The 18319-nt window shown below is 47.1% G+C and overlaps 1 protein-coding gene and 1 long non-coding RNA gene across 4 annotated transcripts in view, besides 2 other annotated features; one reads left to right on the top strand and one right to left on the bottom strand.

Annotated features, from left to right (window-relative positions):
* Positions 1 to 12720, top strand: part of GPA33 (glycoprotein A33) — a 37542-nt gene extending 24822 nt beyond the window's left edge. For all 3 annotated transcript variants that reach the window (NM_005814.3, XM_017000005.2, XM_047424480.1), the window contains 4 exons: positions 1819 to 1974; positions 9707 to 9826; positions 10445 to 10580; positions 11090 to 12720. In NM_005814.3, the coding sequence (NP_005805.1) occupies positions 1819 to 1974; positions 9707 to 9826; positions 10445 to 10580; positions 11090 to 11222 (545 nt within the window). In that variant the 3' untranslated portion in view covers positions 11223 to 12720. The remainder of the gene's footprint in view (positions 1 to 1818; positions 1975 to 9706; positions 9827 to 10444; positions 10581 to 11089) is intronic.
* Positions 610 to 904: a silencer, noted in NCBI's record as "tiled region #13653; HepG2 Repressive non-DNase unmatched - State 21:Repr". NCBI's record gives its function as "represses a minimal TATA promoter and a strong SV40 promoter by Sharpr-MPRA in HepG2 cells {active_cell/tissue: HepG2}" and the evidence as "EXISTENCE:reporter gene assay evidence [ECO:0000049][PMID:27701403]".
* Positions 640 to 12871, bottom strand: GPA33-AS1 (GPA33 antisense RNA 1). The gene is made up of 6 exons (XR_922249.3): positions 12790 to 12871; positions 7129 to 7249; positions 4810 to 4928; positions 2793 to 2885; positions 2439 to 2568; positions 640 to 776 (listed from the first exon to the last, which is right to left on the bottom strand). It is a non-coding gene; the product is annotated as a GPA33 antisense RNA 1 (long non-coding RNA).
* Positions 8229 to 8348: an enhancer, noted in NCBI's record as "active region_2033". NCBI's record gives its function as "activates an Ori minimal core promoter by ATAC-STARR-seq in GM12878 lymphoblastoid cells {active_cell/tissue: GM12878}" and the evidence as "EXISTENCE:reporter gene assay evidence [ECO:0000049][PMID:35858748]".
* Positions 12872 to 18319: the final 5448 nt, after the last annotated feature.

The following is an 18319-nucleotide window of genomic DNA, read 5'->3' as shown; positions in this document are numbered from 1 at the left end:
ATGGGCAGCACTGTTTATTGAGCGAGCAAGCCATCCAAGGGGATGTGAAAAGAAAGACGCAGAGGAGACAGGCTTGCCACCTAGGGATTCCAGGAGCAACCCTCTCCACTGTGTGTCCTCCCCTTCTCACCTCCAAGGACACGACCTGAAGTCTCAAGCATGCTTCATGCTGCTTCTTGCCTCTGAGCCTTTGCACATGCTGTTCACTCTGCCTGGAGTACCATCACCTCTTTCTCCGACCACCACTCCCACCTCCACCACTGGCCTTGTTTACTGTCATGCTTCCTTCACGTCACAGCTGATCTTGGGTTTGGGGCTGTTTTAGGCCTTATCTGCCCCAGCAGCCTTGCCTCCTGTCTGGTCATTGTTCAGCTACTTGTCTTTTGCCCCCACTAGATTCCTTGACCCACCCACTGTGTCCTCCAAGTGCCCAGCATTGTCAGACACACAGTAGGCACCCAGTGAGGTTTGTAGAATGAACCCAGCTCCACAATGGTATCTTGACAATGCTGAGTGAAAGGCACAGGCTTAAGCTTCCCAGAAATCCAGGGAATCGGGTTGGGGTTGTGAGATGAGGGTGGCTGCCGTTCTGGGTAACCTCCAGTCTATGGGCTTCCCTCTCCTTACCTCTGCGCCCTCTGCCTGCTCGAGTCCCCTCAGTCCTCATCCTTCACCCTGCACATAACTTTACTGCTGCCTGTGGGTCCGCCCATCATCCCGTGCTTATGGCAACTGCTTCCGCCCATCATCCCGTGCTTATGGCAACTGCACGTTATCTGCAAAGCACAGGAGGAGGATGGTGCTGAACCCAGAAAGAACATTACTAAGAAGTTAAGAGTGGAAGGCTTCAGAGATCACTTAGTTCAGGGGTAGGCAAACTAGGACCAAATCCAGCCCACAGACTGTTTTTACATTTCTAACATACTATTTAAAGAGAAAAAGTAGCAGCAACAAAGACAATATGTAGTCTGCGAAGCCTAAATATTGCCACCTGGCCCTTTACAGAACAGGTTTGTAGTCCACTAATTTTACAGAATGGAACACTGAGGTCGAGGGGAAGTGAGGATTTTCCCAAAATGGCACAAATGAATTAGTGGCAGAAGGAGCTCATATGGGCTGGTGGAGAGTGCACAGGATCTGGAGTTATAAGAGCTGAGATCTAGTCCCAGCTCTGCCAGTACCTATGAGCAAGTGTCCTCTCTGGGCCTCAATGTCCCCATCTTTCTTTCTTTCTTTCTTTCTTTTTCTTTTTTTCTTTTCTTTCTTTTTTTGAGACAGAGTTTTGCTCTTGTTGCCCAAGCTGGAGTGCTATGGCACGATCTCAGCTCACTGCAACCTCCGCCTCCCAGATTCAAGCAATTCTCCTGCTTCAGCCTCCTGAGTAACTGGGATTATAGGTGGGTGCCACCACGGCCGGCTAATTTTTTGTATTTTTAGTAGAGATGGGGTTTCACCATGTTGACCAGGCTGGTCTCAAACTCATCTCGAACCCCATCTTTCTAACGGCCATGTTCCGCTATCTTTAAAATCCCATGACTGTAAACTAGAACACACATGAGGCCATGCCTTGGAAAGCTACTGCAGGCCCGCAATGCTTCCCAGCATATGTACTGCTCCTTTGTGGTGGTGACAGACCACTGAGGCCATATTGGGGTGAATTGGTTTTACAGCATTCCATCTCACTACTCAACTATGGAGTTTTCTGCCTGTGAACAAACAAGGCAGTATATGTGTGTGGGGGGTGGGTGGGGAGGGGTGGGTGGCTGTCACCAAGCCCCACCTGCCTCATGCCTTCTCTTTGGTCTCTCCTCTATATAGTGCCACCCTCCAAACCAGAATGCGGCATCGAGGGAGAGACCATAATTGGGAACAACATCCAGCTGACCTGCCAATCAAAGGAGGGCTCACCAACCCCTCAGTACAGCTGGAAGAGGTACAACATCCTGAATCAGGAGCAGCCCCTGGCCCAGCCAGGTAAGGGGGCAGTAGGGAAGGCGGGCTCCCCACGTCAAAGTGCAACACATGCAGCTGATTGGCTAGGGGCTGCAACTTGGGTTGACCGATCAGATCCCCCTGAAGGCCGCTTGCTTCCCTACCCATCCCTATCCCCCTATCCCCACCTCTCTAAGCACTGGTTTCTTGTTTTTAGACAGAGTCTCGCCAGGTGGCCCAGGCTGGAGTGCAGTTGGCACGATCTCAGCTCACTGCAACCTCCTCCTCCCAGGTTCAAGCGATTCTTCTGCCTCAGCCTCCCAAGTAGCTAGGATTACAGGTGCCCACCACTATTTTTAGTAGAGACGGGGTTTCACCATGTTGGCCAGGCTGGTCTTGAACTCCTGACCTCAGGTGATCCACCCGCCTCAGCCTCTCAAAGTGCTGGGATTACAGGCGTGAGCCATCGCGCCCGGCCAGCACTGGTTTCTTATAATAATACCTACCTCATAGGTTCTGGCAAGAAACAAAAATGATTCATGTAAAGCGCGTAGCGGAAGCCGTGGTAAATGTTAACTTGTTTTCTTTGTTCCTCATTCCTCAGTTCTCTTGGATGAACGTGCCCTGATAAGCACTCTGTGCAAAAGCATGGGTAGGATTTTAATTTGATTGTGTCCTGAAGTATACATTTGAGACCCCAAGTCTAACTCGGGGGCTCCACGCAAAGGTGGGGAATTTAACTTTCCCATTCCTTATCCAGGCCGGTCCCTCTCAGCCGTCACGGACCCCCGCTGCCCCAGACACACCACCGTTTTATGGCTCCACACAACGACAGCACCATGTTGCTGTAAGGGTCCCACCTTCTTAGGGGAGGCGATGGTGGATTCAGCTATAGTTGCCAGGAGACCAGTTTTGTACTGGGCAGCTTGGTATTGGACCTTTCAGTCAGGAAACTGAAAAAAAAAAAAAAAAAAAAAGAAAGAGCTATATAAAAATCCTACCATCCTTTCCACACCCAGAGCCAATGGGTGTGGAAATACCCTGGTGGAGTCCCAGGGCCCCTAGTGCCACCCCTGCTCCTGAGGATCAAGAAAGACAAGGCTTGCTGGGTGCCGTGGCTCATGCCTGTAATCCCAGCACTTTGGGAGGCTGAGGCAGGAGGATCACTTGAGGCTAGGAGTTCAAGACCAGTCTGGGCAACATTGTGAGACCCCTGTCTCCAAACAAAATTTTTAAAAAATTAGCTGGGCATGGCAGGACTCACCCTTTAGTCCCAGCTACTCAGAAGGCTGAGGTGGGAGGATTGCTTAAGCTCTGGAGGTCGAGGCTGCAGTGAGCCATGATCACACCACTGCACTCCAGCCTTGGTGACAGAGCGAGACCCTGCCTCAAATAAAATAAAATAAAATAAAGTAAAATAAAATAAAATAAAGTAAAATAAAATAAAATAAATAAAATATTTTTTAAAAAGAAAGACAAGGCCTGAAAGGTGTCCATCCGATTTAGCTTCTGGGAGGTCTTTCAGTTCAGTGTAGGTGGAAAAGGAGGCCAGAGGTGGAAAGCAAAGCCAGCAGGGCACACAGCTCTTCTGAGAAGATGAGGTGCCCCGGGGGTGGGGATGAGGACCCGGGGGAAGAATATCTGGTGTCCTGGATAAGCCCAGCCGGACGGATGCACACATTGGGGGTGCACTCAATCCAGGAAGAGCTTTATCACTCGTTTGGGGGCAAATCGACTTCTTAAAAAAGTTAGTAGACACTTTGGGAGGCTGAGGCAGGCGGATCACGAGGTCAGGAGATCGAGACCATCCTGGCTAACACGGTGAAACCCCGTCTCTACTAAAAATACAAAAAATTAGCCGGACGTGGTGGCGGACGCCTGTAGTCCCAGCTACTCCGGAGGCTGAGGTAGGAGAATGGCGTGAACCTGGGAGGCGGAGCTTGCAGTGAGCCGAGATCGCGCCACCGCACTCCAGCCTGCAGCCTGGGCAACAGAGCGAGACTCCGTCTCAAAAAAAAAAAAAAAAAAAAAAAAAAACAGTTAGTAGAATCCACTCGACCTAACTTAAAATAGGTCAATGTAATGTAGGTTTTCAACAAGCTTCCAGTTGTGTTTACGTATTTCTGGTTGGCAACTTTTTATCGAGTGTGTCTGGAATTTTTGTTGAAACCACCTGGCAGCTCCCCGGGGGCTCTGTGGCCTCCTCTCTCTGGCCTATGAATAGTCTAGTGACTCCAGCCATGGTCATGGTAGGTGTGCTGTGGACACTGGTAGTGTCTGATCTTCTTTCCTGCAAAGTGTGTATATGGAGACCCAAAGCTGAAGGTTACAGGTGGCAGATGCTATAATAGCTTTATACCCAGTGGTGATGTAACACAGAAGATGCATAAGAAGATCAAAGAAGGTTTCTCCAAGGAGTGGGTATTGGAGTCGACAGTGGTTAAGAGCATGCCATGGGCTTGACTCCTGGCTCGGACACTTGTTAGCTGTATGACCTTGGCAAGTGACTCAGCTTCTTTGTGCCTTAGGTTCTATGTCTATGAAATGGGTACAATGCTAGTGTTTACTTCATAGGGTTGTGAAGATTAAATAAAAGTAGATGTGAAGCATTGAGACTAGTGCCTGGTAGGCAGTAAGCACTCATTTAATGCTAAGTGTTATTAGCTGTTATTTGAGTTGGGTCCTCAAGGATGAGGAGGCTTGGCATGGAGAACAGGAAGGAATCATGACTGTCTGGTGTGGCTAAGGGGTAGGGTGCGTGTGTAGGTGTAGGAATGGTGGGAGATACTCTTGTTAAGAAACACAGTGATGAGAAATCATGAAGAGCCTGTGCGTTACGCTAGGGAGGTTCGTCTTTGCCCTGTAAGCCACGGGTACCTTCTGAGGAGCCTCACAAAGGGGCAGCCCAGCTGCAGTTCTCTCCTGCCTCCACAGGGAGACTCTTCTGGTTGTTAGAAGCCAAAACTTAGTTCTTTCATTATCCAAAAGGGAGAATCCTGAGGACAGGAAAGGAGGTGAAAAGAGAATTGCTTCTTTAATTTGTGAAAGCTTTAATTTGTGAAAGCTTTATCCTGTCTCTAGTTAAGATTTGCTGAGTCAGAATGGGGACCTGCAGGTGACAGAAAAGAATATGGTTAATGTCCATAACAACATGCCCTGGCATCTGGAGACATTGCGGGGTGAGGGCAGAGTTCTCAAAGCCTTCGTTTCCACTCTGCTTTGCAGAGCCTTGGAGAATCTGCCAATTCTGGCCAGGTGCAGTGTGGCTCATGCCTGTAATCCCAGCACTTTGAGAAGCTGAGGCGGGTGGATCGCTTGAGTACAGGAGTTCGAGACCCACCTGGGCAACATGGTGAAACCCTGTCTCTACCAAAAATACAAAAATTAGCCTGGCATGGTGGTGTGTGCCTGTAGTCCCAGCTACTTGGGAGGCTGAGGTGGGAAGATCCTTGGGCCTGGAAGGCAGAGGTTGCAGTGAGCCAAGATGGTGCCACTGCAGCCTGGGCACTAGAGCCAGATCTTATCTTAAAAACACAAAACAAACAAACAAAAAATAAATAGAGAGAATCTGCTAATTCTTCTTCCTCTGTGGGTCAGCCCAAATTATTTCTGGCTTTTAAAACATTTCAGTCCACCATGGACGATTTGGAGAGGAGGGTACCTCTGCTCTCCTACATCTGAAGACAATTTCCAACATTAGAGATTCATTCCTTTGACTAAACCCTCAGTGGAAACAAGCTAGCAGTGAAAAGAACAGGGAATCCAGAATCAGGAAACAAGAAGTCCTGACTTCTCCACTTTGGAGCTGTGAGTCACTCACAGCCTCTCGGACCCTTAGTACTGCCCTTTGAAAAAAACTGGGATTCCCCAAAAGCTGTGAAGAGGATGAGAGGAGATCCCATGTGTAATAGCTCTGAACAGACTTTGTAAGCTGTGTCCCAGGAAGCTGAGTTTCATGCACTGAAGAAACAGGAATTTGGATATCAAGGAAGTGGGGGAGGGGGTAGTTCTGGGGCCTGGAGCACTTAAGGGGAGGCGGTTGTGAAGGGTGGGGACCAGTCCAAGGAGGATCGTGAGGGCCCTTTGTGAGAGAGAGGTGGCAGCAGGGGCTTGTCGACAAGCTACAGGATTGGGTAGGGGTTGGGGGGATGCGGAAACGTTAGGTCTTGTCAACGTGACATTAGCGTCTTGGTGAGACAGGAGGTTCTCTTGAGGGGAATCTCTCCACAGCTGGAGCAGAGGAAGGTGGGAAGCGTATGACCGTCCTGTGCATTCCCCTTTCTGACCACAAGGTGTCGCCACTGCAGCGGAAACATTAGTTTTCTCCGGATATCAGAAATTACTAGTCCCTTTCCGAAGGAAAAGGGGCTTGGGAGCCCCAACTCGGAATCAAAGAAGGTCCTGTGGCACAAGACCTGCACTGGTTCATCCCAGCAGCTTCCAGTGCACACGGTTTGCATCAGGGAACTGGGGGAGGATAGCGCTGACTCATTGGACTAGGAAACCCCATGTTCCCCACCCTAAACAAGGCCTAGAGCTCAAAGCTGGACTCTGACAACTAAAAAAGTCCTGACTGTCTGCAGTGTGCTGCCTACACTAAATCCAGAGTCCGAGCTTCACACTCTTAAGTGGTGGGGATCTGTTATGAGCTCTAGACCTCCTAAGTATGCCCAGGGCCATAGAGCATTTCCTAAAGTGTGTTCCTTCAAGATGCCTCTTAAAAATAACAAATCCGATTCATTTAGCAAATGAGAGCATGAATACCACACCCCGCTGTCAGAAGTTCCCAGTGCTCAACAGCATTGTAGGAGCTCTGAAAGTGCTGCCCTTAGAAAGATTACTTAATCCTAACTCAGTGATTCCTAAACTTGCTTTTTTAGGGACTCCTTCTCCATGCCGCATGTTAATATCACATGTAAACAATGTTCCAGAAAACATACTGAGGCGTGGAATTCTAGGATAGAAGGGGACACATTTTATGAAGAATGAGCATCCAGAGAGTAGTGTCCTGGGGGTCAAGGGAAGAATTTGAAGAAAGTACAAGTGAAAAGACTGAAAGAAAATAGCACCAAATCAAAGTGTTATTTATAGGTGATGGAATTATGAATGATTTTTATTTGTTCTCTCTTCTTTAAAGAGGCATTCCTTGGCCCTTTGGATGAGATTAAAACCCCTTGCCATAAGCTCAGATAGTACCTCCATCTTGAACTGTAACCATCATTGTTTCATGTCTGTCTTCTTTGGGAGACTGGAAACACCAAGAGGACAGGGACCCTCCTCATCTCGTTTATAGCTGTGATCAGCAGCTAAAGATTTTCTGTATTGAATTGAATTGAAATAATAGTTTTATATCATTTATAAATTATTATAAGGAGCATACATTGCTTTTATCATACAAAATTTTATTTTTATACATATTTTTTTCGAGATGGAATCTCGCTTTGTTACTCAGGCTGGAGTGCAGTGGTGCGATCTCAGCTCACTGTAACCTCCACCACCCAGGTTCAAGCGATTCTTTTGCCTCAGCCTCCCAAGTACCTGGGACTAGAGGCGCACACCACCATGCCCGGCTAATTTTTATATTTGTAGTAGAGACGGGGTTTCACTGTGTTAGTCAGGCTGGTCTCGAACTCCTGACCTCAAGTGATCTGCCCGCCTTGGCCTCCCAAGGTGCTGGGATTACAGGCGTGAGCCAATGTACCCGGCCACAAATTTTTAAAAGAAAATTATCAATGGCTCCAGGGAGTTCTAGACCTGAAACAGGATTTTTGTTCCTGTTTTATAATTTCTTAATTTTGTGACCTTGAGCAGTTCACTTAACTTCTTTAAGCCTCCAGTTAACTCCATGAATTGGAGATTGAAATATTGAGGATTGCTGGAAGGATGAAAGGACATCACATTTGAGGATGTGTACTGAGCAGCACATCCGGAGAAGGAAAATCTTGAGATGCAATCTTGCAGGAAAGTGACGGTGGGGCGGAGAGAGGACAACTCCCCTGGTTTTGCCCCTAGCACCAAGTGGCAAGAGGCAAAGCTGGTATGATTGACAGGGCCAGATCTGTGACCTGAAGCTTGGACTTGTTACTGAGGATTACGTCTAGTGGTTGCTGGGCAGCCCCTGAAATGTCTGAACAGAGCAGTGACAGGATCGTATTTACAATTTAGAGCGTCTCTTAGGGATGGCGTGTAACCACCTGGTGGCAGCAGGGATCAGGCAAGGCTGGCTCTGCAGCAAAATTAGAGGAGGTAGGTCTCCAGCTCCTCTCAAAATAGCAGTTATAACAAAGCATCTTGGATGGCAGGACATATACATATGCCCAAGCACAAAGCTCTTGCTTTCAAGATGAAGAAATTCATAGGATGATAGATTGAGGGGAAAGGTCTTCCATGAGATATTCTGGTCCGTTCTCTTCGATTCAGGAGGATCAGGTGTTTTCACTCCTGCTTTCCGAAGGAAGCCTACAGCTCAAAGAAGTTAAATGGCTTGCTCAAGTGGCGGCAGATGTAGAGGAAGAGTCTAGACAGTCTGCCTCCGTCCCACCCCAACAGCACACACATTCACCACCCCCCATACCACACACACTACACATGCAACACACACCACACATCACACACCACACACATTACACCCACCACACACCACACATCACACACTGCACACCACACATACTACACACGCCACACACACCACACACAGTACACACCACACACACCACATGCAGCACACACACTACACACACCACACACACCACACACCACACACACACCACACACATTACACACTCACCACACACACTACAAACGCTGCCACATACACACCACACCACACGCACCACACTACACATGCCACACACACCACACACACGCCATACACACACCACACACACCACATACATCACACACTACACACACACTACACACACCACACACCCACCACACACCAGACACATCACACACTCACCGTACCACACACACTACACACACCACACACATCACACACTCACCACACACACTACACACACCACATACACACATACCACACATATGCCACACACACCACATACCATACACACACTACTCTCACAGAGCACAGCACACACACGCTGCACATCACTGACACACCACACACCACACACACTGACACACCACACACACTGACACACCACACACACCACATAACACACAGACACACACACACACATACACCCCACACACCTCTCTCATGGCAGAAATCCAGAGATCAGAGTTTTTGATTTCCAAAGGCTTCTTTCATATGAGTCTAAGCTAAGAGATTTGGTTTCTGAAGATCATAAAAGTAATAATATCTTCTGATTAGAAAGCATTTTCATGTAATACATAATGTGCATTATGTTTCCTGAGCACTTACTACATATCAGGCATTCTGTTGTGGGCTTATATTTATTATTAGTACCTCATTTTATGCTTGCAAGTACCCTGTGAGGCAGGTACTATTATTTCTGATTTTAGATGAGGAAATGGAGGTTGAATGAAGCTGAGTTACTTGCTAAAGACAAATTAATAAGTGGCAGAGCCAGGTGTCAAACCCAGGGTGCCTGACTGAATTCTGAGCACTTCACATTGTGGGCCCTGCCTGGTTTAAGCGTCCTGCAGCCCTGGAGGTGGACATGGGGCTCCGGCCTGAAGAAGCTCAGTGGCAGAGGTTGTGCTTCCCAAGGAGTCCAGACCTCCCATTCCTGGCTGTCTCCACTCCACTGTAGTGCCTCTCTTCACCCTGACTCTTCTTCCCCTGCAGCCTCAGGTCAGCCTGTCTCCCTGAAGAATATCTCCACAGACACATCGGGTTACTACATCTGTACCTCCAGCAATGAGGAGGGGACGCAGTTCTGCAACATCACGGTGGCCGTCAGATCTCGTAAGAGCAGCCTGCGGGGGGAGGGCTGACAAACGCCACAGGATAACTGGTGGGGGTCCAGAAAGTCAGCTGAGACCACCGTGAGGAGGAATAGGGGAACCTCTCTAGGGCCACGCACCTGCAGGTTAGCTGTGGTGACCTAGGCAGGATGACTCTGTCCCAGGCTCCCCTCACTCTGAGGCCAGTCCAGTTCCACTGGTGTTTGGAAGTGGAACCTAGGACTGACTTCTAGGACTCAGAGGCTTTGTCAGTCCCACCTGCCTAGGAACCACTCGGTGGGCGTGGAGGAAGTGCCCAGGGCAGCTGCCGCAGAGTCTGGACCACATCCTTCTGGGGTGAGACACCAAATCTAGCTTAAAGAGCTGGCTGGGCTGACATCTGAGGACTTTTGCAGAGCCAGGGTAGCCCGGAAAGTGTTAAGATGTGAAGTGGACCATATGTCTCTGTCTGCACCTCCATCCTGAAGAATATTCCTGGGCCATGGCTGGTCACATTCCTCCAAGACCATGCCTTTCATGGAGTGTTACCAGAAGCTGGTAGCTGCTGCTCCCCTGGCTGGGAGGAGACCCGGAGCTAGCTTAGAAGCTCGGCAAGTGCAGCTGCTCTGTCCTCTTGCAGCCTCCATGAACGTGGCCCTGTATGTGGGCATCGCGGTGGGCGTGGTTGCAGCCCTCATTATCATTGGCATCATCATCTACTGCTGCTGCTGCCGAGGGAAGGACGACAACACTGAAGACAAGGAGGATGCAAGGCCGTGAGTGTCTGGGCTGGTAGCCTGTTGGAAGGGTCTGGGGAGACTGGAAATATGCTTCCCAATTCCTCACAGCCTCTTCTACTTGCAGCACCCCTTGGGGTATATCACCCCCATTTTGTGCTGATGAAACAATGACCTGTCCAAGCCATAAAATGTGCATTGCAGCCCCAGGACCTGCCTCCCAGTCCTGTGGTTTTCCAGTCTGGGAGCTCAGGGCCGGGCTTCCTGTGGCATGACTAGAGCCAAGTGTGGCCTGGAGCCCCTGTCACGGGGCCAGTTCCTCCTGGGCTGGTAAAGCCAGCCTGTTCCTGTAACCCCCTCAGCTCATGCGTGGAACAAGTCTGTGGCACCTTTACTCTCAGCCCAGCCTTTCAGCCCAGTGTCCTCTGCAGCTGGTGGGTGGGGAGGAGGTCTGGAGGCTGCTCTTCCTGTAATGCACATGAGGCCCAGCTCCCTTGAGGGTCCACCTGAGAGCAAATCCTTCCCCTCTGTCCCCTGCTGCCCTGCAGGAACCGGGAAGCCTATGAGGAGCCACCAGAGCAGCTAAGAGAACTTTCCAGAGAGAGGGAGGAGGAGGATGACTACAGGCAAGAAGAGCAGAGGAGCACTGGGCGTGAATCCCCGGACCACCTCGACCAGTGACAGGCCAGCAGCAGAGGGCGGCGGAGGAAGGGTTAGGGGTTCATTCTCCCGCTTCCTGGCCTCCCTTCTCCTTTCTAAGCCCTGTTCTCCTGTCCCTCCATCCCAGACATTGATGGGGACATTTCTTCCCCAGTGTCAGCTGTGGGGAACATGGCTGGCCTGGTAAGGGGGTCCCTGTGCTGATCCTGCTGACCTCACTGTCCTGTGAAGTAACCCCTCCTGGCTGTGACACCTGGTGCGGGCCTGGCCCTCACTCAAGACCAGGCTGCAGCCTCCACTTCCCTCGTAGTTGGCAGGAGCTCCTGGAAGCACAGCGCTGAGCATGGGGCGCTCCCACTCAGAACTCTCCAGGGAGGCGATGCCAGCCTTGGGGGGTGGGGGCTGTCCTGCTCACCTGTGTGCCCAGCACCTGGAGGGGCACCAGGTGGAGGGTTTGCACTCCACACATCTTTCTTGAATGAATGAAAGAATAAGTGAGTATGCTTGGGCCCTGCATTGGCCTGGCCTCCAGCTCCCACTCCCTTTCCAACCTCACTTCCCGTAGCTGCCAGTATGTTCCAAACCCTCCTGGGAAGGCCACCTCCCACTCCTGCTGCACAGGCCCTGGGGAGCTTTTGCCCACACACTTTCCATCTCTGCCTGTCAATATCGTACCTGTCCCTCCAGGCCCATCTCAAATCACAAGGATTTCTCTAACCCTATCCTAATTGTCCACATACGTGGAAACAATCCTGTTACTCTGTCCCACGTCCAATCATGGGCCACAAGGCACAGTCTTCTGAGCGAGTGCTCTCACTGTATTAGAGCGCCAGCTCCTTGGGGCAGGGCCTGGGCCTCATGGCTTTTGCTTTCCCTGAAGCCCTAGTAGCTGGCGCCCATCCTAGTGGGCACTTAAGCTTAATTGGGGAAACTGCTTTGATTGGTTGTGCCTTCCCTTCTCTGGTCTCCTTGAGATGATCGTAGACACAGGGATGATTCCCACCCAAACCCACGTATTCATTCAGTGAGTTAAACACGAATTGATTTAAAGTGAACACACACAAGGGAGCTTGCTTGCAGATGGTCTGAGTTCTTGTGTCCTGGTAATTCCTCTCCAGGCCAGAATAATTGGCATGTCTCCTCAACCCACATGGGGTTCCTGGTTGTTCCTGCATCCCGATACCTCAGCCCTGGCCCTGCCCAGCCCATTTGGGCTCTGGTTTTCTGGTGGGGCTGTCCTGCTGCCCTCCCACAGCCTCCTTCTGTTTGTCGAGCATTTCTTCTACTCTTGAGAGCTCAGGCAGCGTTAGGGCTGCTTAGGTCTCATGGACCAGTGGCTGGTCTCACCCAACTGCAGTTTACTATTGCTATCTTTTCTGGATGATCAGAAAAATAATTCCATAAATCTATTGTCTACTTGCGATTTTTTAAAAAATGTATATTTTTATATATATTGTTAAATCCTTTGCTTCATTCCAAATGCTTTCAGTAATAATAAAATTGTGGGTGGAAATTCTTATTTCTTTTTTAATGTGGATTTTGTTTGCAGTAAGATAAAGCTTGGGTCTCATGGATCATCTCTACTCACCATAGCACTCTTCTGCTTCCTAGGGGAGGTGAGACAAGGTAACAGATTTGAGAATCCTGGGGTCCCTCTGCTTGTGGCCGCAGTAGGGTCAGGCAGTGCCTCTAGTGGTTGCTGGGAATAGGACAGATTCCTGCCTGCTGGTGGAGGTATATTCCAGGAGTCTGCAGTGTCAGGACACCAGGAGGCCTGGGTGTCGGTCCACGTGCTTGAAGGAAGATGGTGGAGATGCTCTAGCCAGTTCTGCTTCCTATGATGCCCCTTCTGAGAAAGGGGCGGGGCAGTCCTCTTGTTCTGTCACAGAGAACTGTGACGCTTCCTCCTCCAAGGCAACTTCGCTCCGCTGTGGGCTCTTGGCTTTGACATGGACTCTCCTGCGAGATATTCAAGGTCTGTTCTTCAGTGTCCTTTCCTGTGCTCCCTCCTGTCCGAGCACTTGTCACACAGTACTGTGTGCCTATTATACCTGTGTACAGGTCTGTCTCTGCCTCACCCTGTATGATTTGTAAGGATAGGAACTGTAGCTTCTTTATGGCCTGGCATGTGTTGACCCTTGACAAAGGTTTGTTAAATGAATAACATTTGGTATCACAGTATCTTGCCCAAGGACATCTCCTAGCTCTCTAGATACTCTGAGGTGCCTTCCAGTCCTCACGGTGCAAGGTTCCACAAGCATGTTCTTGAGGGAGCCACGGAAGCAGAGGCGGCCACCTTCCCCCAGGTTTGACTTGACTTCTCTCTGCCCCTCAAAGGACTCTGAAGGTTCACCTGCCTTAGCTCCAGGCTTAGGGAAGAAAAGGAGGGAAATCGAGACCCACTGCATTAATTCAACAACAAATATTTTGTGAGCATCTACTACGTGCCAAGCAGTGTGCTGTTTGCAGAGTATATAAAAGTCACTAAGAAACTGTTATTCAGGAGGAGCTAAAATCTAATGGCGGTCACAGACATAGAAACATAATTACATGAGCAAGAGAAGGGGCTACAGGACACAGGAGGGCCTGAGTAACTCAGCCTAAGGGAGTTCAGGAAAGCTTCAGAGAGGAGGTTGCATTTGGGCTGCATCTTGAAGAAGAATGAGGAGTTTTACAAGTGGAAAAGGGCTGGTGCTGACATTTCTTCTGTCCTCCAATGCATGTTTCTATTACTTGGGTGTCAAATCATATTATCACTCAGTAAGACTACAGTTTCCTGCTGAATTTATTTCGGTCCACAGACTCTGGGAATTGGACTGTTGTAGGTTCTTATACAATCAAAATTAGCCCAGCAATGCAGTCTCCTTAGAATGTTAGGCATCCCTTCCCAAATTATGGTTTCCAGCTGCTGGTTCAAAGACTTTATGGTGTTTTAGAAGAGAGACAAATGCTACCCATTAATTGAGGGAAGATTGTGTACTATAAACCCTTATTAGGCACTTCAGACAGTTTTCCATATAATCCCCACTCGCAGTTTCAAATACTTGGGCATATGCCAATGTTAGGTGTTCATGTTATCACCTAAGGAGGGACTCTGGCTGCCCAGAGAGGAATCCATGAACTGATACACAGCTTGGTAAATTAGCCACTCTTCAGGATCTTGTTATTTATTTATTTATTTATTTTTAATTTTACTTTAAGTTCTGGGATACACGTGCAGGACGTGCAGGTTTGTTACATATGTATACATGTGCCATGGTGCACCTATCTACCCGTCATCTAGGTTTTAAGCCCCACATGCATTACATATTTGTCCTAATGCTCTCCCTCCCAAAAAGTCTTGTTCTTAAGCTGCTTTTGTGACACAGTGACAGGGCCTCAGCTCTCAAATGCAGAGTCACATTAACCAAGCTCACAGTGCCTGATGTACAATGCTTATAGCAGCAGCACTTGCTCTGGGCCAGGTACTGTTCTAGGCCTTTTCCATAGAACATCTCATAATCTTCACCCTATGAGATAAGTGCTATTATTCTTCCCATTTTACAGATGAGGAAGCTGAGACACAGTGAATTTAAGCAATTTGGATCAACACAGAATGTCAATTTGCTATTTATAGCTGTCAAGTAGACCAGCCTTTCTGTCCACCTGACCCAGGCCATCTCACCCCATGGGCACTATGCCCTCAGTTGCTTACTGGGCATGGAATCAGAATAAGAGAAGTCGGCTACTATCAAGGAGCTCTCATCTTTGATGGCAGTCTGTATCAGTAGGTGTCATATCCCCTGTGGAAATTCTGGAAGATTCTCTGGTCTTGGCTCCATCCCTGGATATTCTGGCTTGGGGCCCGGGGCATCTGCAGAAGTGATCCTATTGTTAAGTCTGGTCCGATGGGGAGGGCCTCTTTGGGGACGCTTGGCTATTGAGTTTGCTCACCGAGACTGCCTCTCCTCAGGTAGGTTTCCAGAAAGACTCAGCCTGGTTTCTGTCTGTGACGGCCATTTGTCTGCACTTCCTCAGCTCACCGTGTCATCCCTTCCTACAACATTTTTTCTCATGCATACACTGCCTTTTTATTTGCTAAAACTTTCCTCCAGCTCCAAATAACTGTTAGGTCTGGGAACTGGTCTTTCCTCTTGAGGGGATACTGAATATTTCTGCTCGGATCTAGGATTTTAAAGTTTATCTCTAAGAGGTAGTCTCATTTCCCTGATTTCCATGTTGTTGAGTAAATTTTTTGTTTCAATTAAGATGAGCTAAACTGCTATAAAAGTGGACTAAAAAGCTATAATGACTCAAATACAATAGAAGTTTCTTTCTCACACAGTTGAGAAAGACTCAGGGGCCCACTCTTCTGTTCATCTCCAACTATTTACATTAGTGGGACTTCTATCTTCAAGGGCCTGGAAACTGTCTGAAACCAGCCAGCAGAGAGGAAGGAGAGCAGAGCAAAGGTGCAAATGCTTCCTCAGACTTGATCCCGAAGTGACCACCCTGATTGTGCCCACATGCCGTTGGCCCATTGGCAAGCACTAGTCACAAGGCCACACATTGTGCAGGGAAGGCAAGGAAATGCAAACTTGTGACCTTATTATATGTGCTCAGGAAGAAAAAAAACAGCTATTGGCTTCTGCCACAGTTGCCTCTTCCTAAGTTCCACATACCCTCTCCATTTTACAGATGAGGAAACTGAGGCTCAGAAGCAGAAACTCATTGGAGGTAGCATTGCTAGTAGGTGATGGAATGAAGATTAGACTCAATTCTGTCTGATTCTGAAGATGTTGCTCTTTCTACTTGAAAACATTTTCTCTTGATTCCGTGTATGAACAGGATGATGGAATGGAGGACATGTGGGAGTGGAGACAGAGTTAAGGTTTTTTGTTTTAAATTTGTAAAATTTGTATATGGCAGTTGTTACTTATAATACAGGCATCTCAGGTATAACAATATATATGCATTTCTGAAAAACCTTGCATTCTTCAAAATCACACACTAAAACTAATAGGACATACAGGAAAGTTAGGATTAGAGGAAGAACACATAAAACCAATGGAACTTTGAAAACCAATGGGCCTTTGCAACCAGATCACTTTCAAAACATTAACAACCCTTGCAAAAACACAAGTGATGTTAAATCTTGGTGCTAAATCTGTTAGCACCAAGCATCACAGTCAGTCACTCTTAATGTGGGCACTCATTTCTACAGAGACCTACTCATCACAATTAAAAAACTATCCATTGATCCACTTGTCTATCTTTTTGCCAATATTGCACTGTCTTGGTGAGTGTAGGTTCATGATATCATCATTTTTCATTGTAGAGTCCTCTTGATTATTTAAGATTGTTTTGGCGAGTCTAGATCCTTTGCTTTTCTACATAAATTTAAGAATCAACTTTTACATTTATAAAATATATGCTTATGATTTTGATTGGGATTGCATTTAATTAATAGATCAAGTTGGGGAAAATTGACATCTTAATATAGAGTCTTCAAATTTATGAAAATGACATATCTTTTCTATTAATTAGGTCTCTTTAATTTCTCTCAGAGGTAATTTTTAGCTTTAGCCATAAAGGTTTTGCAAGTATTTTGTTAAATTTAAAAGTGTTTTATATTTTTGATACTATTATAAATGATATTGGTTCTTAAATTTCTATCAGTTTTGATTAATTTATTTTGAAGTTCTGTTATTAGGCACACACATTTAAAGTAGCCATGTCTTCCTACTGAATTGGCTTTTGTCAATAGAGAAATATTCCTATTGATCTCTGGTAAATTAATATGACAACGTTTTTATGCCTATTGTCTTTATGGTATTTTTTTCATTATTTTACATTCAACTTATCTCTGTTATGATATTTAAAGGGGATCTTCTTTTTAAAATCCATTCTGACAATCTCTGCCTTTTAAATTGAATGGTTTAAGTCATTTATATGTAATTATTGATATGGTTTTGAAAGTCTACCATTTTCCTGTTTGTTGTTCTATGTTTTGTTTTGAGTTTTTGCAGTTACAATTCCCTTTTCCCTCCCTATTTTGAGTTAATAAAATATTTTAAAACATTCCAATTAAATTTTATATTGGATTAGTAATAATACATTTAAAAGTATCTATGACATATATATGTAGGGAGTATACACTTAACTAATTATTAGTTATGTTTCAGTTTTTCTCTCAGGAAAATGGGACTTGATATATTAATCTCACACAGGTTCCACTGAGAGGCTAGAGAAGATCTGTCTGGCTGAAAGGTAGCTGCTGTAGCTCATACAGAAAGCCTGTGAAAGCAGGTCTCTGATCTCTCGCAGCAAAACCTGCCCTCCCTGTCTTGCCCAACAAAAAGTAAAGAAAGAAAAAAAGAAAAATTATGGGAAAATCCTCCACTTGGGTCTCAGCATTACTCCTAAAGTCATTGCCATTTTTGTGGGATGGGATGTTCACCCAGAGTTACAGAGGAACAATATGTATTGGGAGGAAGAGAAAGAAGGAGAGAGGAAAGTGATGTTGGGCTAGTCTAAGGAGCCACCAAAGTGAAGGCTGTAATTTCTAGACTCATTTTGGCATTTCTGACCCTCATTGGTATGGCAGGGCCTAAAGCTCCTTCTGATCCTAGACAGCAAAGATTGTCCCCTCTGGCCTTGCCAGGAACAACACAGCTCCACAGTTGCTCCTCTTCCCTTCATGAGGAGAGTGCACATCCAGATTTTCACCCTCACTGTCTTGGAAAGTCATTCCCCCCAATGATTAGAAGCTGCAATTCAAATGTCTGGGAAGATAAGCCAATGAGTTGAGGTAGATGAAGGCCAATAGCCATGGTGTCTTAGCTGTAGAGCAGAGAGATGACCAACTCAAACTGAGGTCTGAGCAGCTTTGATCACCAGATGCCAAGGGAAATGAATCAAGGGCAACATGCCTGACCCATTGAACTTGTCTCCCCTCTACTTCCTTAGCTTTAAGGTAGGAGAAATTGAAGATAAGAGATAGTGAGAAGGCAGTTGATATCTATCTACTCAATAAAGTTCAACAGAGACAAACTAACTTGAACTATTACAAAAATTTTCTTGTCTGCTCCTGGAACTCCTCCTTTTTATTATTTGAATAGTGACAAATCTACTTCTAG

Source organism: Homo sapiens, chromosome 1 (genome assembly GCF_000001405.40).
Source record: "Homo sapiens chromosome 1, GRCh38.p14 Primary Assembly".
Taxonomy (NCBI): Eukaryota; Metazoa; Chordata; class Mammalia; order Primates; family Hominidae; genus Homo; species Homo sapiens.
This window is presented reverse-complemented; position numbering and strand designations above follow the sequence as displayed.